Source organism: Homo sapiens, chromosome 7 (assembly GCF_000001405.40).
Source record: "Homo sapiens chromosome 7, GRCh38.p14 Primary Assembly".
Lineage (NCBI taxonomy): Eukaryota > Metazoa > Chordata > Mammalia > Primates > Hominidae > Homo > Homo sapiens.
The window spans coordinates 122176303-122203259 of NC_000007.14; the positions used below are offsets into that span (position 1 = coordinate 122176303).

The 26957-nt window shown below is 37.1% G+C and overlaps 1 long non-coding RNA gene across 5 annotated transcripts in view; it reads left to right on the top strand.

Moving 5' to 3' along the window:
* The window catches only part of LOC102724527 (uncharacterized), a 74864-nt gene that overhangs the window by 31889 nt on the left and 16018 nt on the right, over positions 1-26957 (top strand). For 3 of the 5 annotated variants that reach the window (XR_007060498.1, XR_007060497.1, XR_007060500.1), the window contains exons 2-4: positions 21648-21749; positions 23044-23123; positions 24952-25094. This is a non-coding gene — a long non-coding RNA (uncharacterized LOC102724527). Of the gene's footprint in view, positions 1-16081; positions 16148-21647; positions 21750-23043; positions 23124-24951; positions 25095-26957 lie in introns of those variants that run through there. The other 2 variants (XR_007060499.1, XR_007060501.1) reach the window with 2 other exon arrangements.

The following is a 26957-nucleotide window of genomic DNA, read 5'->3' on the forward strand; positions in this document are numbered from 1 at the left end:
ATATTTTTCTCTTTACTGTTCTCTTACCCCCTTTCACTCTCACTGCACCTCCTCCATGCCTCTGTACTACCAGTAGCTCCCCTTAGCAAGAGCTTCTATGGAGAATGCAGCTTCCTGGAAATGTTGATGCCCCATCGTATAGGAGTTTTTCTAAAGGAAACCCCACTTTCACCGCCCACACCCATATGCCCCTGCACTTCAGGCCATACATGTCAATCCCTGTATCTTTAACCTGCTTGTTAAGTTTGTCTCTTCCAGAACCAAAGCTGTAAAACTACAAATCATTCTTCAAATGGAGCCCCAGATGCAGATCATGTCTAAGATCTACCGCGGACCCCTGGACTAGCCTGCTAGCCCATGCCCTGATGTTAATGACATTGAAGTCACCCCTCCTGAGGAAATCTCAACTGCATGACCCCTACTACACCCCAATTCAGCAGGAAGCAGTTAACAGTGGTCGTTGGCTGACCTCCCCAACAGCACTTGGGTTTTCCTGTTGAGAGGGGGCACTGAGAGACAGGACTAGCTGGATTTCCTAGGACTAAGAATTCCTAAGCCTAGCTGGGGAAGGTGACTGCAACCATCTTTAAACACAAGGCTTGTATCTCAGCTCACACCTGACCAATCAGGTAATAAAGAGGTCTCACTAAAATACAAATTAGGCTAAAAGCAGGAGGTAAAGAAATAGTCAAATTACGTCTCATCTGAGAGCACAAGGGAGGGATAATGATTGTGATATAAACCCCCAGGCATTCGAGCCGGGAGTGGACAACCCCTTTTGGGTCCCCTCCCATTGTATGGGAGCTCTGTTTTCACTCTATTAAATCTTGCAACTGCACACTCTTCTGGTCCATATTTGTTACGGCTCGAGCTGAGCTTTAGCTCACTGTCCACCACTGCTGTTTGCCGCCATCGTAGACCCGCCACTGACTTCCACCCCTCCGGATCCATCAGGGTGTCCACTGAGCTTCTGATCAAGTGAGGCACCCATTGCTGCTCCTGATCGGGCTAAAGGCTCACCATTGTTCCTGCACGGCTAAGTGCCCGGGTTCATCTTAATTGAGCTGAACACTAGTCGCTTGGTTCCACAGTTCTCTTCCATGACCCCTGGCTTCTAAGAGAGCTATAACACTAACCGCCTGGCCCAGGGTTCCATTCCTTGGAATCTGCGAGGCCAAAAAACCCAGGTCGGAGAATAAAAGGCTTGCCACCATCTTGGGAGTGGCCTGCTGCATCTTGGGAGCTGCCCACCACCATCTTGGGAGCTCTAAGTACAAAGACCCACCCGTAACAGTAACATCCTTCTCCCATCCCTGGCCCCTGACAGCCACTGATCTGTTCTCTGTTGTTACAGTTTTGTCTTTTCAAGAATGACTTATAAGTGGACTCATAGGATTTGTAAACTTTCACTGAGCATAATGCCTTTGAGAGTCATCCAAGTTGTTGTATATATGAATAGTTCATTCCTTCTTATTTCTGAGAAGTAGTTTGTGGTGTGAACATATCACAGTTTATCCATTCACTGGCTGAAGGACATTTGTGTTACTTCCAGCTTCTAAAAACTATTATTAGAGCTCCTGTAAACTTTATGTGCATAGGCTGTTGCATTTTTCTACCTAGGAGTGGATTTGCCAGATCATGTGGGAAGTTTAACTTTATGAGAAACTGCCAATCTGTTTTTCAGAGTGGCTTTACCGTATTTCATTCCTACTAGCAATTTTGAAGAGTTCCAGTTACTCTGCATCGTTACCAGTACTTGGTAGGTTTAGCCATTTTCATTTTTGGTAATCTAGTAGGTACACAGTAATTCTCGTGGTGGTTTGGAAGTGTTGAATTTATTTTCATGTGTGTATTTGCTTTCCATATAACTTTGATGATGTGTCTTTTCATGTATTTTGCTCATTTTTTTCCTGAGTTTTGAGGGATCTTATATATTTTGGATACAAATCCTTTATAAAATATCGATTGAAAATATTTTCTTTCAGCCTCTAACTTGTTTTTTAATCTCTGAACAATGTCTTCACAATATAGTTTTTATTTTTGATGAAGCCTAATTTATTATTTTTTTCTTTCATTGACTATGCTTTTGATGTGTTCTCCAGGAACTCTTTGCTTAAATCCAAGATTAAAAACTTTTTCCCAACTGTACTTATAAAAAAACTTATTGTATTTTTTAGATGTATAATCTATTTTAAATTAATTACTGCAAAGAGTGTGAGGTTTATGTCAAGGTTTATTTTTTTTGCATGTGGTTGTCCAATTGCTCCAGTATGATTTGTTGAAAAGATTACACTCTCTCCACTGAATTGCTGTTACATCTTTGTCAAAAATTAATTGCCCACATTTGTGTGGATGCATTTCTGAACTATTTATTCAGTTCCATTGATTTATGGGTCTATCTCTTTGACAATACCACACAGTCCTTATTGTTGTAGTTTTATAGTAAGTCTTAAAATCAAGTACTATGATTCTTCTTTCTTCTTTTTCACAATTGTTTTGGTTATTCTACTTCTTTGACCTTTACATATGTTTCTATCTCAAAAAATCCTATTGTGATTTTTATTGGAATTATGTTAACTCTATAATAAATTTGGGGAGAATTGATCACCATTAAATGTGCTAATCCATGAATGTGGCATTTCTCCTTGTTTATTTAGGTCCTATTTTATTTTATTCATCAGCATTTGCAGTTTTAGCATGCAGATCCTGTACATTTTTTGGTTATCTTTATACTCAAGTATTTGAAGTTTTGAATTGTTGAAAAAGGCTTTTTTATATCAGTTTTCAAATGTTTATTGTTAACATATACAAATATGGTTGATTTTTGTGTGTTGATCTCATATGCTGCTTTTCACCACCAAACATATTTTACAGAACTCAAGAAGTGAACATTCTCTTATGTTTATACATATATTTACCATTTCTCTTGCTTGGCCTTTGTTCCTGATATTAAATGTTTCCTACTGCTATCATTTTTCTTTTGTTTGACAAGCTTACTTTACCAATTACTTTAGAGTAGTTCTTCTAACAACAAAGTCTCTTAGTGTTCCTTCATCTGAGAATGCCTTTATTTTACCTTCATTCTTGCAGGATATTTTTACAGGATATAGAATTTTAGGTTGATAATTTTTTTTTCAGTACTCAAAAAATGTTGTGCTACTTCTGTCTCTCTTTCATAGTTTCTGATTTGGTTACTGGAATCACTGTTCCTCTGAATATACTATGGTTTTTCTGTATAAGATTTCAAAATTTTTTTCTTTTTCTTTAGTTTTCAGCAATTTAATTATATGTTGGGGTATATATTTTCTTGAGTTTATCTTGTTTGCATTCACTGAGTAACTATCTTGAATCTATAGGTTTCTGTCTTTTTTATTTTTTCAATTGTGCTTCTCTCTGTTCTGATTGTATTATTTTCATTTTTATTGCTTCAAGCTTATAGGGCCTCTGGCATCTCCATTTTGCTATGGATCTTATCTTGTGCTTCTTTCTTTCAGGTTATTACATTTTTTCATTCTAAAATTTCTATTTTGTTCATCTTTGTAACTTCAATTTTTTGCTAAGACTTTCTATCTTTCAATTCTTTTTAAGACAGTTCTCCCATTAGTTTTCAGAGTGTTTGTATCATACCTACTTTAAAGGTTTTGTCAGATAATTCTAGCATCTATGTCATTTCAGCATTGACATTGGTTGTTTTTCTTTTATTGTGCAGTTTGAGATTTTCCTAGATATTTACATGATAAGTACTTTTGAATTATATCTTAAATGTTTGAGTACTAAACTATAAAACTCTGGGTCTTATTTAAATCCTGTAGAGAATGGTTGCTTCCCTCATTTCTTATTAATACATAATAATTGTACATATTTATGGAGTACACATAATATTCTGATACATACATACATACAAGGTGTAATGATCAGATCAGGATATTTAGGATATCTGTCACCTCAAATACTTATCATTTCTTTATGTTGTGAACATTTCAAATCTTCTCTTTTAGATATTAAAAAATTATTTTTAACTATAATCACCCTACTATACTATTAAATACTAGAAACTACTCCTATCTATGTGTACGTTTATACCCATTAAGCAACCTCTCTTCATCTCTTTACTCCCTGCCCTTTGCAGCCTCTGATAACCACCATTTTACTCTCTATTTCCATGAGATCAACTTTTTAAACTCTCATGTATGAATGGAAGCATGTAATATTTGTCTTTATGTACCCAACTTTTATCAGTTTAACATAATGACCTCCAGTTCCACCCAGGTTGCTACAAATAAGAGGATTTTATTTCTTTATGGGAGAATTGTATTCCATTGTGTGTGTGTGTGTGTGTGTGTGTGTGTACACTTATATGTAGAAACACAATACCGAAAATTTGGCATAGATAGATAGATAGATAGATAGATAGATAGATAGATACGCAAACACACATATACATGTATGCCCAATTTTCTTTATTTTTCATCCATTGATTAAGTTGATTCTATATTTTGGCTATTGTGAATGATGCTGCAGTAAACTTTGGAGTGCTTACCTTTCAAAAAATACCTAGAAGTGGGATTGCTGGGTTGTATGGTAGTCCTATTTTTAGTTTTTTGAGAAACCTCCATACTGTACATGGCTAAACTAATATACATTCCCACCAACAGCATATATGAATTTCCTTTTCTCCACATTCCTGCTAACATCTGTTATTTTTCTCTTTTTTTTTATACCAGCCATTCTAAATGAGATGAGATGATATCTCATTGTGGTTTTGATTTACATTTCCCTGGTGATGAGTATTGTTTACCATTTTTTCACATGACTGTTGGCCATTTGGATGTCTTCTTTTGAGAAATGTCTATTTAGATACTTTGTCCAATTTTTAATGGGATTATTGGTTTTTTTTTTTTGCTGTCAAGTAGTTTGAGTTCCTTGTATATTCTGGATATTAGTCCCTTGTTGAATGAATAGTTTGCAAATATTTTCTCCTTTTCTACAGATTATTCCTTCACTGTGTTGTTTCCTTTGCTGTTAGCTTTTTTTGTGTCATATCATCTCATTTGTCTAGTTTTGTCAGTGTTGTTGTCTATGCTTTTGAAATCACAGCTGTAAAATCTTTGCCTACACCAATGTCCTAAAGCATTTTCTCTATGTTTTCTTGTAGTAGATTTGCAGTTTCCAGTCATATGTTTAAGTCTTTGGACTATTTTGAGTTGACTTATTTAATATGGTGAAAGATAGAGGTTCAGTTTTATTCTTTTGCATATGGATATACAGCTTTCCCAGCACTATTTATTAAAGAGGGTATTCTTTCCCCATTGTATGTTCTTGGAACCTTTGTTGAAAATCAGTAGGCTGAAAATCAGAGGCAGAGCAAGACAGCAGAATAGAAGGCTTCACCAATCGTCCCCCTACAAGGACAGCAATTTAATTACTATCTACACACACACACACACAAAGCACCTTCATAAGGACTAAAAATCAGGTGAGCACTCACAGTACCTGATTTTAACTTCATATCACTGAAACAGAAATAAAGAGGTAGAAAAAAAACAGTCATGAATCACTGATGCAACCTCCTCCCCAATCCCCCAGCATTGGCAGCATGGTGCAGAGAGTGTTTCTGAGCACTGAGGGAAGGAGAGCACAGCAATCATGAAGCGATTGAACTCAGTGCTGTCTGGTCATAGCAGAAAGAAAAAACAGACAAAATTCAGCTAACACACACCCACAGAGGGAGCATTTAAACCGGCACTAGCCAGAGGGAAATTGCCAATAGAGGTGATGAGAACTTGAGTCCTTGCAAGTCTTGGCACTGTGGGCTAAAGTGCTCTGGAACTCTAAATAAACTTGAAAGGTGGTCTAGGTCACAGGACTGCAATTTTTAGGTGAGTTCTCGTATTGAACTGGGTTCATAGCTAGCACACAGGGGTTGACAGTGGGAGGGCATGTGACCTGCTGACACATCAACTGGGCACTTAAGGAAGTGCTGGCATCACTCCTCCCCTAACCCCAGGCCACACTGCTTGCAGCTCCAAAAGAGACACCTCCTTCTGCCTGAGGAGAGGAGGGGAAAAACTGGAGAAGACTTTGTCTTGCATCTGGGATACCAGCTTAGACACAATAAGATAGGAAATGGGTCAGAGTCATGAGGCTCCCTTTCCAGGCCTCAGCCACCAGACAACAAATCTAGATACACCCTGGGCCAGAAAGGAACCTGCAGCCTTAAAGGGAATGAAACATAGTGCCGGCACCATTCATCACCTGCTAACTTAAAAGCCTTTGGGCCCTGAATAACCAGCAGCAATACCCAAGTTCTACATTGAGGGCTTTGGGTGAGACTCTGAGACCTCCTCACTTCAGTTGAGATTCAGCACATTCCCCAGCTGTGGTGACTGTGGAGCAAGAATCCTTCTATTTGAGAAAAGTAAAGGAGACATTGTCCTGCACCTAGGTATCAGCTTGACCACAGGAGAGTAGAGCACCAAGTGGGCTCTTAGGGTCCCCAATTTCAGGCCTTGGCTCTGGGACAGCATTTCTGGACCTGCCTGGGGCTAGAGGGGAGTCCAAGGCCTTAAAGGGTGAGTCCCCAGGCAGGCCATATTCTCCACAAGCTGAATGAAGAGACCTTGGGCCTTAAGGGAACAATGGCAATAGTCTGGCAGTACCCCCATGGGCCTGTGATGGCAGTGGCCAAGGACTGACTCCTCTGCCTTTGGAAAGTGGAGAAAAGAATGGGAAGGACTGCATCTTGTAGTTTTAGTGCCAGCACAGCTACAGTACAACAGAACACCAGGTAGACTTCTAAGGATTTTAAGCGTAGTCCCTGGCTCCTGAACAGCACCTTTGGATATGCCCATGGCCTAAGGGAACTCACCAAACCCAAAGGGAAAGATCGGCCTGGATAGCTTTGCCACATCGTGATTGTAGAGCCTCCAGGGCCTTGAGCAACCTTAAGTAGTAGCCAGGGAGTGGTTACAGCAGGTCTTGGGTAAAACTCAGTGCTCTGTATGTCTCAGATCTCATCCAGCTCAGTCATACTGGTGGTGGCAACAGAAGTACTTATATCACTCCATTCCCAGGTTCAGGTGACTCAGAACAGAGGCAGAGACTTTATTTGTCTGAGAGAAAGTAAGAGAAGAGAATGAGAGTCTCTGCCTGGGAATCCAGAGAATTCTCCCAGATCTTGTCCAAGACCATCAAGGTGGTACCTCTATGAGTCTGCAAAAACCACAGAGTAATTGGGATTGGGGTGCCCCGTAAAGTTGATACAGCTTAGATCTCAACACCCACATTCTTCACATAACTTCTCAAGAAAGACAGGTACACACAAACCCAGACTGTGAAGACTATAATAAATACCTAACTCTTCAATGCCCAGACATAAGCAAACATCCCTAAGTATCAAGACAATCCAGGAAAACATGATCTCACCAAACAAACTTAATAAGGCACCAGAGACCAATCCTGGAGAAATAGAGATATGTGACATTTCAGACAGAAAATTCAAAATAGCTGTTTTGAGGAAACTCAAAGAAATTCAAGATAACACACAGAAGAAATTCAGAATTCTATCAGATAAATTTAACAAACAAATTGAAATAATAAAATAATCAAGCAGAAATTCTAGAGTTGAAAAATGTAATTGACACACTGAAGAATGCATTGGGGTCTTTTAATAGCAGAATTCATCAAGCAGAAGAAAGAAGAAGAAAGCCTATCACAAGGCATTTAATAATCGGACTCCCAAAGATAAAGGATAAAGAAAGGCTCCTAAAATCAGCAAGAGAAAAGGAAGAAGTAACATACAATGGAGCTCCAATGTGTCTGGCAGCAGACTTTTCAGTGGAAGCCTTATAGGATAGGAGAGAGTGGCATGACATATTTTAAGTGCTGAAGAAAAACAACTTTTACTCCAGAATAGCATAACTGGCAAAAATATCCTTCAAAAATGAAGGAGAAATAAATACTTTCCCAGGCAAACAAAAGCTGAGGAATTTCATCAACATCAGAACTGTCAGACAAGACATGCCAAAAGGAGTATTTCAATCCAAAGTATGTTAATGAGCAATATGTAATCACCTGAAGGTACAAAACTCACTGGTAATGGTAAGTACACAGAAAAACACAGGATATAATAACACTATAACTGTGGTGTGTAAACTATCTTATCCTATGTAGAATGATTAAAGGGTGAATCAATAAAAAATAATAACTATGACAACTTTTGAAAACATAGAGAATACAATAAAAAATAAATGGAAACAACAAAAAGTTCAAAAGGGGATATGAAGTTAAAGTGAGTTTTTATTAGGTTTTTTTTTTTTGCTTTTTTGTTTATGCAAACAGTGTTAAGTTGTTATCATAGTTTTATCGTATGTTTTAACATAGTATTTGCAAGCCTCCTGGTGTATTCAAAACAAGATCATACAACAGATACATAAAAAATATAAAGGAAGAAACTAAATCATATGACCAGAGAAAATTATCTTCACTAAAGGAAAAACAGAAAGTAAAGAAAGAAGGAAGAGAAGACAACAAAATAATCAGAAAACAAATAACAAAATGGCAGGAGTAAGTCCTTACTTATCAATAACATTGAATGCAAATGGACTAAACTTTCTAATCAAAAGATATAGAGTGGCCGAATGGATTTTTAAAAAAGCAAGACCCATTGATTTGCCTACAAGAAACACACTTCACCTATAGATACACATAAACTGAAAATCAAGGAGTAGAAAAAGATATTCCATGCCAATGGAAACCAAAAAGAGCAGGAATAGCTATACTTATATCAGACAAAATAGGTTTGAGACAAAAGCTATAAGGAAGAGATGAAGATGATCACTATATAATGATAAAGAGATCAATTAAGCAAGACGATACAACAATTGTAAATATATGTGCACCCAACACTGCATCACCCAGATGTATAAAGCAAATATTATTAGAACTAAAGAGAAAGATAAATTCCAATACAATAATAGCTGGAGACTTAAACGCCCTACTATCAGCATTGGACAGATCTTCCAGACAGAAAATCAAAAAAGAAATATTGGGTTTAATCTGCACTGTAGACCAAATGGATCTAACAGATAGTTACAAAACATTTTATCCAGTGGTTGCAAAATGTACATTTTTTTTCTCAGCACATGGATTATTCTCAAGGGTAGAGCATATGTTAGGTCACCAAACAAGTCTGAAAACATTCAAAATATTTACTATCAGTAGCATTTTTATATGCCAGCAGTGAACAATCTGAAAAGAAGTCAAGAAAGTAATCACACTTACAATAGCTACAAGTAAAATTAAATAACTAGGAATTAACTTAACCAAAGAAGTGGAAGACTTGTGTAATAAAAACTATAAAACACTGATCAAAGGAATTGAAGAGGACTCCAAAAAATGAAAAAATATTCCATGTTCATGGATTGGAAAAATCATTATTGTGACAATGTTCATATTACCTGAACCAATCTACAGATTCAATGCAATTTCTATCAAATTCCAACGACATCCTTTACAGAAATAGAAAAAAACTATCCTAAAATGTATGTGGAACAAAAAAAGACCCAAAATAGCCAAAGCTATCCTAAGCAAAAAGAACAAAACTGGAGGAATCATATTACCTGTCTTCAAACTATACTACAGAGCTCTAGTAACCAAAACAGCACATTACTGGCATAAAAACAGACACATAAATCACTGGAACAGCATAGAGAACCCAGAAACAAATCCACACACCTACAGTGAACTCATTTTCGACAAAGGTGCCAAGAACATACACTGGGGAAAAGACAGTCTCTTCAATAAATGGTGCTCAGAAAATTGGGTATTCATATGCAAAGGAATGAAATTTAGACCCATATCTTTCAACATATACAAAAATAAAATCAAAATGAATTAAAGCCTTAAATCTAAGACTTCAAACTATGAAACTACTACAAGAAAACATTACGGAAAATCCCCAGCACATTGGTCTGCGCAAATATTTCTTGAGTAATAGCCTACAAACACAGGCAACAAAAGCAAAAATGGATATAAGTTAAGAAGCTTCTGCACAGCAAAGGAAACTATCAAGAAAGTGAAGAGACAACCCATAGAATGAGGAAAAATATTTGCAAACTACCCACCTGACAAGAATATGTAAGGAGCTCAAACAACTCTATAGGAAAAAGTCTAATAATCTGATTAAAACTGGCCAAAAGATTTGAATAGACATTTCTCAAAAGAAGACATAAAAATGGCAAACAGGCATATGAAAAGGGGTTTATCAGAGAAATGGAATTTAAAACTACAATGAGATATTATCTCATTTCAGCTAAAATGGCTTATTTCCAAAAGACAGGCAATAACAAATGCTGATGAGGATGTGGAGAAAAGGGAACCTTTGTACACTATTGGTGGGAATGTAAATTAGTGCAACCACTATGGAGAACAGTTTGGAGGTGCCTCAGAAAACTAAACCTGGAGCAACCATATGATCCAGCAATCCCACTTCTGGATATATACACAAAAGACAGCAAATCAGTATATCAAAGAGCTATCTGCACTCCCATGTTTGTTGTAGCACTGTTTACAATAGCCAAGATTTGGAAGCAACCTAAGTGTCCATCACAGATGAATGAATAAAGAAAATGTGGTACATATACACAATGGAGAACTATTCAGCCATAAAAAAATGACACCCTGTCATTTGCAACAACATGGATGGAACAGAAGATCATTATGTTAAGTGAAGTAAGCCAGGCACAGAAATACAAACTTCACATGTTCTCACTTATCTGTGAGATCTGAAAATAAAAACAACTGGACTCATCAATACCGAGAGTAGAAATATGGATACCAGAGGAAGGGAGGGGTAGAGGGGATAAAGGGGGAGGTGGGGATGGTTAATGGACTAAAAAAGAATAGAAAGAATAAGACCTAGTATTTGCTAGCACAATAGGGTGATTGTAGTCAATAACAATTTAATAGTACATTTAAAAATAACTAAAAGAATATAATTGGATTGTTTGTAACAGAAAGGATAAATGTTTAAAATGATGGATAATCTATTCCCCAGATGGGCTTATTTCACATTACATGCCTGCATCAAAACACCTCATGTACCCCATAAATATATACACCTACTATGTACCCACAAAAATTAAAAATTTGTTTAGAAAAGGAAAATCAGTTGGCTGTAAATACAAAGATTTATTTCCGGGTTCTCTGTTCTGTTTCATTGGTCTATGTATCTGTTTTAATACCAATACCGTGCTGTTTTCATTATTCTAGACTTATAATATATTTTGAAGTCAGATAGTGTGATACCTGCAGCTTTGTTCTTTTTCCTCCATATTGCTTTGACTCTTCAGGGTCTTTTGCGGCTTCATAAAATTTTAGAATTTTGTTCTATTTCTGTGAAGAATGTCATTGATATTTTTATAGGGTTTGTATTGAATTTGTAGATTGCTTTGGGTAGAATGGTCATAATTTTTCCAACTCACGAGCATAGAGTAGCTTTTCATTTGTTACTGTCCTCTTCATCTACTTTCATCAGTTATTTGTAGTTTTCATCATGCTTTCCACCTCCTTGATTAAATTTATTCCTAGGTAGTTTATTTTTGTAGCTATTGTAAATTGCATTGTTTTCTCGATTTCATTAAGGTAGTTCATTCTTGATTTCATTCAGCTAGGTGGTTTTTTTTTGAAAAGATAAGCAAAATTAAAAAATCCTTAGCTAGAATATTTTTTAAAGGGGAGACTAAAATAAATAAAATAGAAAATAAAACAGGAGACATTGCAAATAATCCCACAGAAATAAAAAAACATCATAAAAAGTATCATGAACAATTATATACCAAAAATTAGACAAATGGGAAATGGACAAATTCCTAGAAACATACAGCCTACTAAGACTAAATCAAGAAAAAATAAAAATCCTGAACTGATCTATAACAAATAGAGAGACTGTATCAGTATTTATAAACCTTGCAAGAAAGGAAAGCCTAGGACAATATGGCTTCTCAGATGAATCCTATCAAACATTTAAAGAAATTTAATTCCAATCATCCTTAAGTAATTACAAAAATAGAAGAGAGAACTCTTTGAAACTCATTCTATGAGACCAACATCACTCTAATAGGAAAGCCAGACAAAGACACTGCAAGAAAAGAAAAGTATAGGTCAATATCACTGACTAAAGTGGATGTAAAAATCCACAACAAAATACTAGTAAGCCAAATTCAACAGCACATTCAAAGGATCATATACCATGATCAAGTAAGATTTGTCACTGTGATGCAAGGGGGTTCAACATAAGCAAATTAATCAATGTGATACACCACATTAACAGAATAAAGGATAAAAATTATATAATCATCTCAATAGATGTAGAAAAAATATTTGACAAAATTCAACACCTTTTCCTGATAAAAACACTTAATGTGTTGTGAGTAGAATAAAATTACATTGGCATAATAAAGGCAATACATGAAAAGTTCACAGCAAACCTCATATTCCACAGTGACAAACTGAAAGTTTTTCCTCCAAGATCCAAGAATGCCCACTTTCTCTACTTCTATTCAAAGTACTGCAAGTAATAGCCAGAGCAATTAGAGAAGAAAAAAAGAAAGGTATTCTAATCAGAAAGGAAGAAGTAAATTTATCTCTGTTTGCAGATGACATCATCTTATATATAAAAACCCCTCAAGATTACACACACACACACACAGACACACACATGCAAACCTGTTAGGACTAATAAAATAATTCTGTAAAGTGGTAAAGATACAAAGTCAACATACAAAATCAGTTGTGTTTCTATACATTAACAATGAGCAATCTGAAAAGGGAAATAAAACAATCCCATTTATGATAAACTCAAAAAACATTTTAAAATTTTGGAATAAACTTAACCAAGGAGGAAAAAACTTGTATGCTGAAAATTACAAAACATTGCTGAAATAAATTTGCAAAGATGACAAATAAATGGAAAGACATACCATGTTCATAAACCAGGTTCACTCTTAAGCACAGTAGAGTTCATACATATATGGTTTTCTTCTTCTTTTTTTCCAGCTTAGCATTTGATTCCAAAATATCTTTTTATTCATGTATCACACCCATGATTTTTTCTGTTTCTCCCTGATCCCTAGAAAGTTCTGAAAACCCTCTAAAATTGGAATTGAGGCCAGGTGCAGTGGCTCCTGCTTGTAATCCCAGGACTTTGGGAGGCTGAGGCAGGCACATCACTTGACCTCAGGAGTTCTAGGCTAGCCTAGGCAATGTGATAAAGCTCTATCTCTACCAAAAAAAACAAAAACAAACAAACAACAAAAAAAAAACAGCCAGGCCTGGTGGCATGTGCCTATAGTCCCAGCTACTGGAAGACTGAGTTGGGAGGATCACTTGAGCCTGAGAGGTCGAGACTGCAGTGAGCCATGTTCACACCACTGCACTCCAGCCTGGGTGACACAGGGAGACCCTGTCACAGAAAAAAAAAAGAAAAAAAAATGGAAATGATATTTATGAATGAGGGGTTGCAAACTACTGCTGTAGTTGGTTAAGAGGAATAACAAAAGTTACCCAATATTCTTTTTTTCATTACTCTGTATAATGGCTGTAATGGTTTCCATATGGGATATTGTAAAATCTAAATGTGGTTTCACCAGACAAAAGCCAAGGTTTTGTTTGTAAGGAAGATAAAGGGACTGTTGAAATGTTTGGGAATTTGGTGACATGAGAATATCCATTGACAGAAAGAGAAAAGCTGGTGTCAGGAGAAAGTTTCAAGGAGATACAGACCTGAGTAGAACGCACAAGAAAAGCTAGACTAAACTGGTTAGGATGAAAGGTGGGAAGAAGTAAACTTAGGGTTTTCTGTGGCATTTTAATTTCTATAGTTTCCTCCTCACAGGCCCCTTGATGACAGAATATGATATAGTTCGGCTGTGTCCCCACCTAAATCTAATCTTGAATTGTAGCTCTCATAATTCCCATGTGTTGTGGGAGGGACCCAGTGGGAGATAATTCAATCATGTGGGCAGTTTCCCTCATACTGTTCTCATGGTAGTAAATAAGTCTCACAAGATCTGACAGTTTTATAAGGGGAAACCCCTCTCACTTGGTTCTCATTTTCTCTTGTCTGCCACCATGTAAGATGTGCCTTTTGCTTTCTGCCATGATTGTGAGGCCTCCCCACCTACGTGGAACTGTGAGTCCACTAAACCTCTTTTTCTTTATAAATTACCCAATCTCAGGTGTGACTTTATCAGCAGCATGAGAACAGACTAATTACAGTAAATTGGTATTGGTAGGCTGGGGTGCTGCTGTAAAGATACCCAAAATGTGGAAGCAACTGTGGAACTGGATAACAGGCAGAGGTTGGAACAATTTGGAGGGCTCAGAAGAAGACAGGAAAATGTGGGAAAGTTTAGAACCTCCTGGAGACTTGTTGAATACCTTTCACCAAAATGCTGATAACGATATAGACAATGAAATCCAGGCTGAGATGGTCTCAGATGGAGATGAGGAACTAGTTGGGAACTGGAGTAAAGGTGATTTTTGCTATGTTTTAGCAAAAAGACTGGTGACATTTTCCTCCTGCCCTAGAGATTTGTGAAACTTTGAACTTGAGGGAGATGATTTAGGGTATCTGGTGGAAGAAATATCTAAGAAGCAAAGCATTCAAGATGTGACTTGGGTGCTGGTAAAAGCATTCAGTTTTAAAGGTAAACAGAACATAAAAGTTCAGAAAATTTGCAGCCTGATGATATGATAGAAAAGAAAAGCCCATTTCTGAGAAGAAATTCAAGCTGACTGCAGAAATTTGCATAAGTAATGAGGAAGCAAATGTTAATTGCCAAGACAGTGGGGAAAATGTCTCCAGGGCATGTCAGAGACCTCTGCAGCAGCCCATCCCATCACAGGCATGGAGGCCTAGGAGGGAAAAATGGTTTTGTGGGCTGGGACCCGAGCCTCCCCACTATGTGCAGCCTAGGGACTTGGTTCCCTGCATCTCATCTGCTCTAGCCATGGCTAAAAGGGGCCAAGGTACAGCTTGGGCCATGTCTTCAGAGGGTGCAAGCCCCAGGCCTTGGCAACTTCCATGTGGTGTTGAGCCTGCAGGTGCACAGAAGTCAAGAATTGAGTTTTGGAAACCTCCACCTAGATTTCAGAGGATGTACAGAAATGCCTGGGTTTCCAAGTAGAAGTTTTCTGCAGGGGCAGGGCCCTCATGGAGAACTTCTAGGGCAGTACAGAAGGGAAATGGGGGATTGAAGTCCCCATACAGAGTCCCCACTGGGAGACTGCCTAGTGCAGATACATGAAGAGGGCCACCATCCTCCAGACCCCAGAATGGTAGGCCACTGACAGCTTGTACCATGCACCTGGGAAAACTGCAGACACTCAGTGCCAGCTCATGAAAGCATCCAGGAGAGAGGCTGTACCTTGCAAAGCCACAGGGACAGAGCTGCCTGAGACCGTGGGAACCCACCTCTTGCATCAGTGTTACCTGGTTGTGAGACATAGAGTCAAAGGAGATCATCTTTGAGCTTTAAGATTTGACTGCCTTGCTAGATTTCAGACTTGCATGAGGACTGTAGCCCCTTTGTTTTGGCCAGTTTCTCCCACTTGTAACTACTGTATTTACCCAATGCCTGTACCCTCATTGTATCCAGGAAGTAACTAACTTGCTATTGATTTTACAGGTTCATAGGTGGTAGGGGACTTGCCTTGTCTCAGACAAGAATTTAGACTGTGGATTTTTGAGTTAATGCTGAAACAAGTTAAGACTTTGGGGGACTGTTGAGAGGACATGATTTGTTTTGAAATGTGACAACATTAGATATGAGAGGGACCAGAGTGGAATGGTCCCTCCATTGGTGGGGACCATTGGGTGTCTCCATCCAAATCTCATCTTGAATTGTAGCTCCCATAATTACCACATGCTGTGGGAGGAGCTTGGTGGGAGATAATTGAATCATCAAGGTGGGCAGGGGGGCGGTTCCTCCATACTGTTCTCATACTGAATAAGTCTTACGAGATCTGATGGTTTATAAGCAGAGACCCCTTTCACTTGGTTCTCATTCTGTCTTGCCAGCTGCCATGTAAGACGTGCCTTTCAGCTTCCACCATGATTGTGAGGTCTCTCCAGCCACATGTAACTGTGAGTCCATTAAACCTCTTTTTTTTTTTGTAAATTACCCAGCCTCTGGTATGTCTTTATTAGCATCATGAAAACGGACTAATACAGAATATATTCTAAAAATCAATAGCTAAGCAAGAATTTATTGTCATTTTTATTAATACAAGTGTATGTGTCCTATATCTCAATGTTAAACTGTGGATTAGAAAATACAGTTTAAGTTAAAAGGTAAAGTGAGATCCTCTACTCTCTTAAGAGTATTGGAAGGGAGGGAAGGATAACTGAAGGAAAGGATGATGTGCAAATCAGACATGTAATTTACTAACCCAGCCAGCCACATGAATGAGAAGCATATGTCTGCTTCATCTTCACAGGCTTCTGCTTATTGTGAGGACAAATGTCCACCAATCTATCTGATTATCATTTAAATCCAACAGCATGTAAAAAGTCAAAAAACTATGCTACCCAAGGGCATTGATTTAGCACAGCGACTCAAATTCCAATGCATCAAGTTTGCAACCCTTTCTCTTATGGAAAGGAATAAGTATAGGGGTGAACAAAGTGAGAGGTCGAAAGGGCTTGCTTCAAAATTCCTCTGAAGTAGAGGTGTGGTGTGGCACACAACTCTCTTGCCTTTAAACAGAGGCATAAATGGGAGAAGCAGAAATGCTTCACTCTTCCACAGCAGCTAACCAACCCAAGGACTTCAACAGGTACACTGGTGTAGGGAGAGCACTTGGTGTAGCTGTTTCCTAGGCTCATTTTAAGCACCAAGATAATAAAAATTAATTATTGGTTACTAGTCTTTTTAAAGTGAAATCAAGGTTACCAGACATGGGTTTCAAGGAAATCAATGTGTAAAAGAACAATAAAAATAGTAACCAGATGTTTATTACCATTTGTTGTTGAATGGTACAAATAAAGGTTTCCATCTTCCACCTCATGAGTTGGTATAAATCTCCCATATCATAAGATGCCACTCTTTTTTTGTTCCTGAGTTCTATGCCCCAAATTTTAAGCAACTTCTTCACTTCAAGAGAGAGTGGGTGACAATTCCTGATGAATAAGGTCATATTAATTGGTATTTTTATTCTCATTAAAATATAGGATGGTGGCTAACACATAGTATGTACTCAGTTAATGTTTGCTGAATTAATGAGAGGAAGAAATGAATAGTGGTGCAAGAGCTGACTGGAACGGACTGTTGCTGTCTCTGATTGTTAAATAGGATTTTTGAGAGACTAAATATTTAATGGTTGTTATCTTGAAATTCATTATGATGAGTGTATTTGTATCAAATTTTTATCAAGAAAATGGGCAAACACTGTGAAATCAGGGCTTTTCTTTCTTTTTTCTGTTTTTTGAGAGAGCTAGTTGATCAGCATACTACTGCCTATTGCCACCACTTTCACTGCACTCTAATCTTTTCACCTTGGGAGAATCTCACTTCCTGAGAGTTTCAACCTGAAAAATAACTATAGACCCAAACAATGCCTTTTCTTTCCATCTTGCAGGTTCTGGGATAGGCGTCTCGTTACAACTAAAGAAATGTTTGGAATCTTGTTGTAGTAATAGTCTTAATCTGGATTTAGAGACACATGTGTGTAGATACTTTTTCCTCCCAAAACAGCAATAAATACATCTTCATGTAGATTTAAGAAAAGGCTAACATTAGAAAGTTAACCCTGACAAAATAATCTGTACAAGAAACCCCCATGACATACAATTTATTCATGTAGCAAACCTGTGCATGTACCGCTGAACCTAAAATAAAAGTTGGAAGAAAATAAAAGGTTGAGACTTGTCCACTGTAAAGTTAAAAAAAAAATTCTGAAAGAAATCAAAGATCTAAATAAATGAAAAGACAACTAAATTCAAGGATAACACAATTTAATTTTGACAAGATCACAATATTCCACAAATAAATCTGCAGATTCAATGCAATTCCTGTTGAAATCCCATCTGTCTTTTTACAGAAATTGACCGAGCAACCCCAAAATATACATTTAAATGCAAAGAAAGTCAAATAAGCTAATAAATATTAGAAATAAAAACAGTTTTTTGAAAAGTTAACCCTGCTTTCGGAACCCAAGGCAAAAACAAACTCTGGCAAACTAAAAGAATTGATATTACAAATGCACATAAAGATTCCGTGACATACTCTAGATAACAATGATGCTGTTCCCTTTCATGCATAGCAGCTCCAGAGCCTATTTACCCTTGAACAAAAGGCACAAAATTTAAACCTTCGAACACTTTTACCAATATTTCAAAGCCAAGGTCCAAATATATTTAACATTGCCACTTATAAATATTTCTGTGGCTCTCACAAAACATCACTCTGACTAGAGTCTATCTACAAAAAAAAAATAATAACAACAAAAAAAACTTATTAAGTGTCTCACCTTCAATGTACAATGTTTCAAAAGCATTACTTATGTCTCTGGTATTTATTTTAAAAGAATAATTTTCTTAACTCTATGAGAAAATGCTGTCAAATAGGTTGGTTTTGAAAAAGCATTAGTTTCAAAAACCTGGTAATTGTTACTGCTTTCTTCATATCTAAAAGTCTTTATTCTTACACACACACACACACACACACACACACAGACACACACACTAAGACCCAGGTAGATAACTTCGTGAGCATTGGGACTGAACACAATTTCTCGTAAGTAGGTTACTTACAGGTATTGACCCTTATTATTCTTACATATATAATAATAGAAGCAAGTAACTTTATGCTCCTATTGTGTAATGTGCTACTTATTACAGCCATGAATTTCCATTCCTCAGGGGTCAAACACTGAATCTTTCTGAGGAATCCAATTAGTTCCTTCTATAAATTCAATGTAGAGAAATCCCTGAAGACTTTTTGAAATTCATGTAACCCAGAATAAAGAAATAGGTCTGGCCAGGAACGGTGGCTCATGCCTATAATCCCAGCACTTTGGGAGGCCAGGGCGGGTGGATCATCTGAGGTCAGGAGTTCGAGACCAGCCTGGCCAACATGGTGAAACCCCATCTCTACTAAAAATACAAAAATTCGCCGGGGCGTGGTGGTTTGTGCCTATAATCCCAGCTACTTGGGAGGCTGAGGCAAGAGAATCACTTGAACCTGGGAGGCGGAGGTTGTAGTGAGCTGAGATAGCACCATTGCACTCCAGCCTGGGCAACAAGAGTGAAACTCCATCAGAAAGAAAGGAAGAAAGGAACAAAGGAAGAAAGGAAGAAAGAAAGAAAGAAAGAAAGAAAGAAAGAAAGAAAGAAAGAAAGAAAGAAAGAAAGAAAGAAAGAAAGAAAGAAAGAAAGAAAGAGAAAGAAGAAAGAGAGAGAAAGAAAGAAGAAAGAAAAAAGGAAGAAAGAAAGAAAGAAGGAAAGAAAGAAAGAAAAAGAAAGAGAAAGAAATCTGTAAGATGTATCTGATGCAAAATTGAGAAGCAGTTCTAGGTATTCTCCAAACTATCCCTTTCATTCCCTGTGCCCTCTCCAGGTGCAGATTTTTCTAAAACAAGAGCATTTTAAACATTCCTCTTTTGCACAGCCCATTTACAAAGCCTGGAAACATCCCTACAATGATTAGTTGCACTTATCAACTTAGCTAGGTTATGGTCACCAGAAATTCAATCAAACACTAACCTAGATGTTGCTATGACAGTACTGTGTAGATTTGATTAAATTCCATACTCAGTTGACTTTAAGTAAGAGAGATTATCTTAGGAAATCTGAATAGGACTGATTTAATCAGTTGAGCTGTAAGAGTGGAGTTGATGCTTCCTTAATAAAGAAGAAATTCCACCTGTGGACAGCAGATTTTTGCTACCCATGCCTGAGAGTTCAGTCTATCCTAAATATTTTGGACTTGCCACAATCATGTAAACCAATTCCTTGCAATTCCTTGCAATAAACTTCTTAATTTATTAAGGAGTAAATTAAGGAATTTATTTATCAAGGAATAAATTGCAAGGAATTTATTGCAATTCCTTGCAATAAACCTCTTAGTATATATCTCCTCCTGGTTCTGTTTCTCTGGCTGAATGCTGATGAATACAGGCCCAACAATATGTGCATATATTTCCTTTTTTAATTCACAAAAGTAAGATATTTTAATTTCAGTGAATTGAGACTATTCTTTTCCACTCTGACTTGCCCCCTGCCACACCGGTGCAGTAGTGTTTCAGTGGCCACAGATATTCTGAGGATCTTGCTCAGAAGAAGTTGAGTTAGAGATATATTTAGCTTGAGTTTACTAGAATTTATTTATAATTCACAGTCACATCCATGGATAATTATTTCTAGCCACACCTTCCAGAAATATTATTACTATCACTGTGAAAATACACCTGGGTTTTGATTCAAAGTATCTAGAGATCATATCAGAATATGAACATGTCCTAGAGCATCTGGGGCCAGATATATGTGGGTAGTGAAAATTTTAAAAAGTTGAAATGCATGAGCCAGAGCTGGTCAGTGGAAAAGTTTTCCAGTTGTCAGGCATGTAAAATGTAAGCAAAGGAGATGATGATGCTCATGAACGTTTTATGAAAACAAGAACATATTAAATAACACATTGTATGTACAATCATGAATGCACAGTGCAACTTTTTTCTTTTTTGATGGAAATTACATACATAGAATTTATCATAATCTCTATACTTATAGAGTATGAACTTGTAGCGGCACTGTAAATAGTGTCTAAAGTTTCCTATGTTTTGCCTTTCAACAGTCAGTAATAAAAAGGTAAATTTCAATTAATCATGCTAAGGAAATATTGAATTATCATTTCATTCTCTTTCTGCAAAATGTTTCTTATGAAGAAGTGATCACGGGGTCAAAACTCCAGACAAAAAAGTATTTGACAAGTGTGTTAGATAGCTAATGATTATGCAATTTTTCTTGATTTTTGTGACATTTGTTGAATTTACCACCTTTTAAAAATTTGTAACTTGTCATTTCTTTTTCATTCCAGATAGATATTCATTTTTGTGAATATAAAATCATGAATTTATAATTTCAAATTTCTTTCCTTAAAGAGAGCTCTTCAAATTGTATAATTTTTTTTTGAGACAGAGTATTGCTCAGTAGCCCAGGCTGGAGTGCAGTGGTGCCATCTCAGCTCACTGCAAGCTCTGCCTCCTGGGTTCACACCATTCTCCTGCCTCAGCCTCCCGAGTAGCTGGGACTACAGGCGCCCACCACCACGCCTGGATAATTTTTTTTTTATTTTTAGTAGAGACGTGGTTTCACCATGTTCACCAGGATGGTCTCGACCTCCTGACCTCGTGATCCACCCCCCTAGGCCTCCCAAAGTGCTGGGATTACAGGTGTGAGCCACCGCGCCCAGCCCAAATTGTATAATCTTGAATTCTCACAAATTCGAGATCTTCCCACGCACCTCTGTGTGTGTGTTTGTTTTGGTGTCCCTTAACACTTTCCCTGCTTCATCACACTGCCCAGAGCTTCCCACTGGGAACATACTCTCACCTCCTTAATTCCCATTTCCTTTTTCTTACCCAAACAGGAAGGAGTAGCCACTATTCATGCCATTGTCAAAACCTCATGGCAACAAAACTTCCAGGGCTGGAATTGCAAAGATGATTACAAAGGGGAGCTCCACAATCAGGTGATCCAGCATTGATAAGGTGTTTGGACTTGATTATATGAAACGAGATTTCTATAATTACTAGAGCTTGTTCTTTAATATGCATTATTTTAGGGTTATCTTCTCTGCTAGAAATTATAAAACAGTTTGAGCTAAAGACGCAAAGCTAAATAAGCCCCAATGTGTGCTATGTTAATATAACATTCCAAACAACTCACATCTAAAGAATATGAAGATCTGCCATTATTTTAGAATTATGAGATTTTTATAAGAATAAATTTGCCTTGGGCAAATGGCACCAGTAAATGGCACTGATCTAAAAAATAAAAAAAGCAAACATTCTACTATATGTAAAAATCTGAAATGATATCTGCTCTGGTTTGGGGGGAAGGTTGCTGTTTTTTTAAAAAAAATATGATCATGGAGATAATTAAGTGATTAACGGAATATGGTACTGAAAAAGTGTAACCTATTCTAATATGATGAGATAGATCCCCACACAATAGTTTAGGAATCTTATTCTAAGTAATACTTAGGCAATATCTTATTCTAAGTAATGCTTAGGCTTTGCTGCTAATGCTTATTGAAGGGAGTGATGGATCTGAGTATGCTACTTTGTGTGCCATTGAATGTCTGCTCTGAGAAGCAGGAAAGTAAACCCAGCATTGTAGTGATAGTCTTTGGAATGAAGCTCATGGTGAGAACCAAGAGCAACTCCAGTAGGAAAGAAAGGGCAAGGTCAGAAAGGAGATTAAGATCTTGGAAGCAGAGTTGCCCCGGGGTACCTGCTAACTGTTCCTATGTACCTGCTGTGAGCAGACTATTGTATCAGGCATATAGGGAGTTTCAAAAAAATCAGATCCTGCCCTGAGAAAGAAGAACATTACCTTCAAGCAGCATTTACTAAGCTTCTATCTGTGCATATTTTGGGGAATGGCAGTATGCCAAGAAATTTCAACATATATAACCAACACTCAGGGGGTCAAAATCCAAAACAACACCAAAATCCTTGGTTTTCTAAAATGAATTGTGAAACTTCTTCCTCAGTTATTGTCTGCTATGTATCTATAGGAATCGGCTTTCCCTTCTAAAGAAACAGAGACTCCATATTTTGCATGTTTCCTCACACTGTGATGTGTGCAGTGAGAATGCAGAGATGGCTAAGAATGATATTTCCCAATGCTCCTGCACCTACCTGCACATGGCTATCTGACTAATTCTCACCAATGAAACATGAGAGGGAGGGTCCTCCTTTGTGGCCAAGAGTTTTAGGAACCTCATGTAACTTCTCTATCTCTTTTCTCCCTTCCACCAGCTAGAGTCAGATGATTATAAGTCCCTGGAATGATGATGCCACAAGATGGAAGGAGTCTAGCTACATGATTCATTGCATGGGTAAAAGCCAACTAGGAATGTCCTTCCTCAAATTAATATATTACCCAGAGATAAACACTTACTGCCTGGAAAAAAATAGCCTGGCTCTTCTTGTTCCACAGCCAAGCATTATGTAATTCAATGCCCTACATAAAGGAATCTAATACACATTTACTGAATTTAAAATGACAGGCTAAGACAGGCATTTAAGGTGCTGCATAGAATCCCAGGCGCATTCTATCTAATATATTGTAGTTACTTAGAGTGAGAGGGGAAGTGATAGATAGGATGATGTGTAAATTAGGAGCAAGGTTGAAATAAAAAGTAGGAAAATATTCAATGTCTGAGTGTCAAAGAGTCATGTGAGGTGGACAGTTGCAGAGTTGCCGTCTATCATCTATTCCCCATCCTTACAGAAATATCACCACAATTATATTTGATAAGTCCAGATTCTCCCACCTTCAGTAACGTTCCTGGTCTCTTCAGGATATGAAAGTAAAGTTAGAACTGATGCAGTCGTTTCACTTCTGCAAGATAAGGGCCTGTCTGAAAATGACATCAACTTGTGGAATAGAACAATGCCAAGACACAGAGATAGATGATGTTCAGCCCCAGAAGCCAAGTGGATCTGAAGTTAGCACTGCCCTATATGTGTTTCTTATAGTAGACCAATTCCTCTTTGCTTAGGCCAATTGGATTAAGTTTTCTGCCATCCATAACTATAAAAGCTCTAACTAATACATCATAGAAGGTTTTGTGGTATTGATAATATCCTGCCACTTATGGGTGCAGCTAGTATTTGTGTCAGATCCCTCTGATGGTGAGTCAAGGCCATTCCAGTGGAGAGCAAGTTGCTGGAAGCTATAATACTTGAAAATGAAAGTCTGGGGTATGCCAGGACTTTATTCCCCTTCTCCGTAAAATCTCCATTAATTGTTCTTTTCTAAACCATCACAAAATTAAGAAAGATTAAAATTCCTTGATAAGGATATTTTCTCAATTTTATCCTAACTATGCTTACAGTAACTTTCTAAAACTTGGCATCTTAATTACTCTATAACAAACAAGATGAATAAAAATATGTGTGCCATGCACATAAAAATTTCTTTATAGTTCCCTCAGTCCCTGCTTTCCCACACTCTTACCACTCCTATGCTTTTCCCATATAGAAATTCTGAAGCTAAAAGTCAAGTTCCAAAATTCTACTTAATAGAGAGAACCAAAAGCATGACCAGAATGGTTCCTCAGAATCAGGAGGTGAAACCTAACATTCGTACTGAGATTGGAATTCAGACCCAAGGGCCAGGAGTCAGATAAGATAATAACAAGGAGGTGGTTAGTTAAAAAGAGTGAATGGGATGCTGTCTGAATTATTTTGGAAACAGTTACTAGTGACAGCAATCAGGCTTTCACATGATCTTTATGACATGTCTCATTTGTTGCCTAGATCCATTTAAAGGACCTAGGAAATGACCAAACCTGAAGCTTGGATCATTTACTTAAAATTTCTAAAGACACAAGGGTCAGGCTCTATTCACATAGACATTGCCAAACCAAATCCCCAAACTTGTCAGCTTTTTTGTCCCTCTGCCTCTTCATTCTCTAGACTGGGAACTTTACATGAGCACTAACAGGCAGTCTAGTCCTGGTTTAGCACCTCCCCCACCCCACCCCAGACATTGCTGAACAGACATTCCCTCCAACTACCACCTGGTATTTTCACAGAGCAGCTTCAGAAAATCTATTGAGCAAAATAAGGAAGGAGACTTGCTCTAGTTGCAATGTAGGAGGTCACAAGTTTATATTCCATTTATGCCTCCACTAATTCTATTTGTTTTCTTCGCATTAGGTGTTCCAAGATAATGAATACTTCCATAGCAACAAAAGTCTGACAATAAACGGTTACCTTGATTTTCACATTTTCAAAGAAAAATCCCTCAATGGCAACTAGACCAGAAGTCTCAACACTGAATATGCAATAATGGCTACAAGGTGAACAGTTTTTCTATTCCATTTTCTTAGCAACATCATTGATTGATTTTCTTGGAAAGGAAGTTAGATTGGATTAGATGATCTTTTTGTTTCAGTCATGTAGCTTGTTATTAGCAATTAATATATGCAGTAGCTTTTGAAACAACATAAGTAATAAGTGACTTCAGTAGAAATTCATTATATTCTAACACAAATGATTTATAAATGCAATTTTATTTTAAAATTTCTATCCTTTCTGTCTCCCTGATTATAATTGTCAAAGTATTCTGATAGTAGAAAGTGTGTATGACTGAAAAAATGGTATAAAATATTTCAGATATAGTATATATTCTATAGGTTGAATTCAAAAGACTGCTGTCACTGTACATTTTTTCCCTAACAAATCATCTTTTTTCTATGCATAACCTATGGTGAGGCAACATTCTTTACATTGTGTTAAACAAGAAAATACTTTGTAATGAATTAAAGTTAAGGAAAGACTACATCTATCAGCCACAAGGAACTTGAGTTCTGGCAATTTTGAGGGTTTAAGGCTCACAGTTTTAGCAGCTATGTCTGCATAAGGACTTGATTGGATCAAAATAAAGAACACAAACATGAACAAGGGGCTCCCTGAAAATTCAGAGCTTCAATGAGTTCAGCACAAGTCCTAAAAGGACATCTCCCTAAACATTGACATTAAACGTTTTTGCACTGGCTTGACTGGGTATAACTTTAAAATGAAATACTAAGTGAAATACCTGTATAATGAAAACTATAAAACACTGACAAAAGAAATTGAAGGGGACACCAAAAAATGGAAAAAATTCCATGTTTATGAATTAGAAGAATCAATATTATTAAAATGTTCATATTACCCAAAACAATTTAGAGATTCAATGCACCCTCTATCAAAATACCAACGACATTTGTATCAATCACAGTCCTCTAGAGGGACAGAATATGATATATATGTACATATATCCTATTATATATGTGTGTCTATATCCCATTATATGTATACTGTTATATATATCCTATTTTTTATATATATCCTATTATATATAGAACTAATAGGCTATATATATCCTATTATATATGTGTGTATATATATCCTATTATATATAATATATATCCTATTTTGTATATGTAGAATAGGATATATATTTATACGATATATATATATCATTCTATATATATATAATCAAATATATATATATATATATATATATATATATATATATGTATATATGAAGGGGAGTTTATTGAGGAGCATTAACTCATACAATCACAAGGTCCCATAATAGGGCATCTGCAAGCTGAGAAGCAATGATGCCAGTCCAAGTTCCAAAGCTGAAGAATTTGAAGTCTGATGTTTGAGGGCAGGAAGCATCTAGCATGGAGAAAGATATAGGCTGGGAGGCTAAGCCAGTCTAGTCTTTTCACATTCTTCCGCCTGCTTTTATTCTGGCCATGCCAGCAGTTGATTGAATTGTGCCCACCCAGATTAAGGGTGGGTATGCCCTTCCCACACCACTGACTCAAATGTTAATCTCCTTTAGCAACACCCTCACAGACACACCCAGGACCAATACTTTACATTCTTCAATCCAATCAAGTTGACACTCAGTATTAACTATTACAAGTCCACCCCTTATCAACTTGAACCCATACACATCTCCTAAGATCATACATAATCTTCAAATAAAGACAATAATAAGGTCGTAATTATGCCTAACACAATACAACTATCTTTCACGCAACCAGAAGCACACCAATTCCCAACCCAAATGTTATTACATAAAGTTAACAACACTTAAATGCTGATATGAAGTCAATAAATATTATGTCACGTTAAAGGAAAAAGGAAATAAAATGAAGATA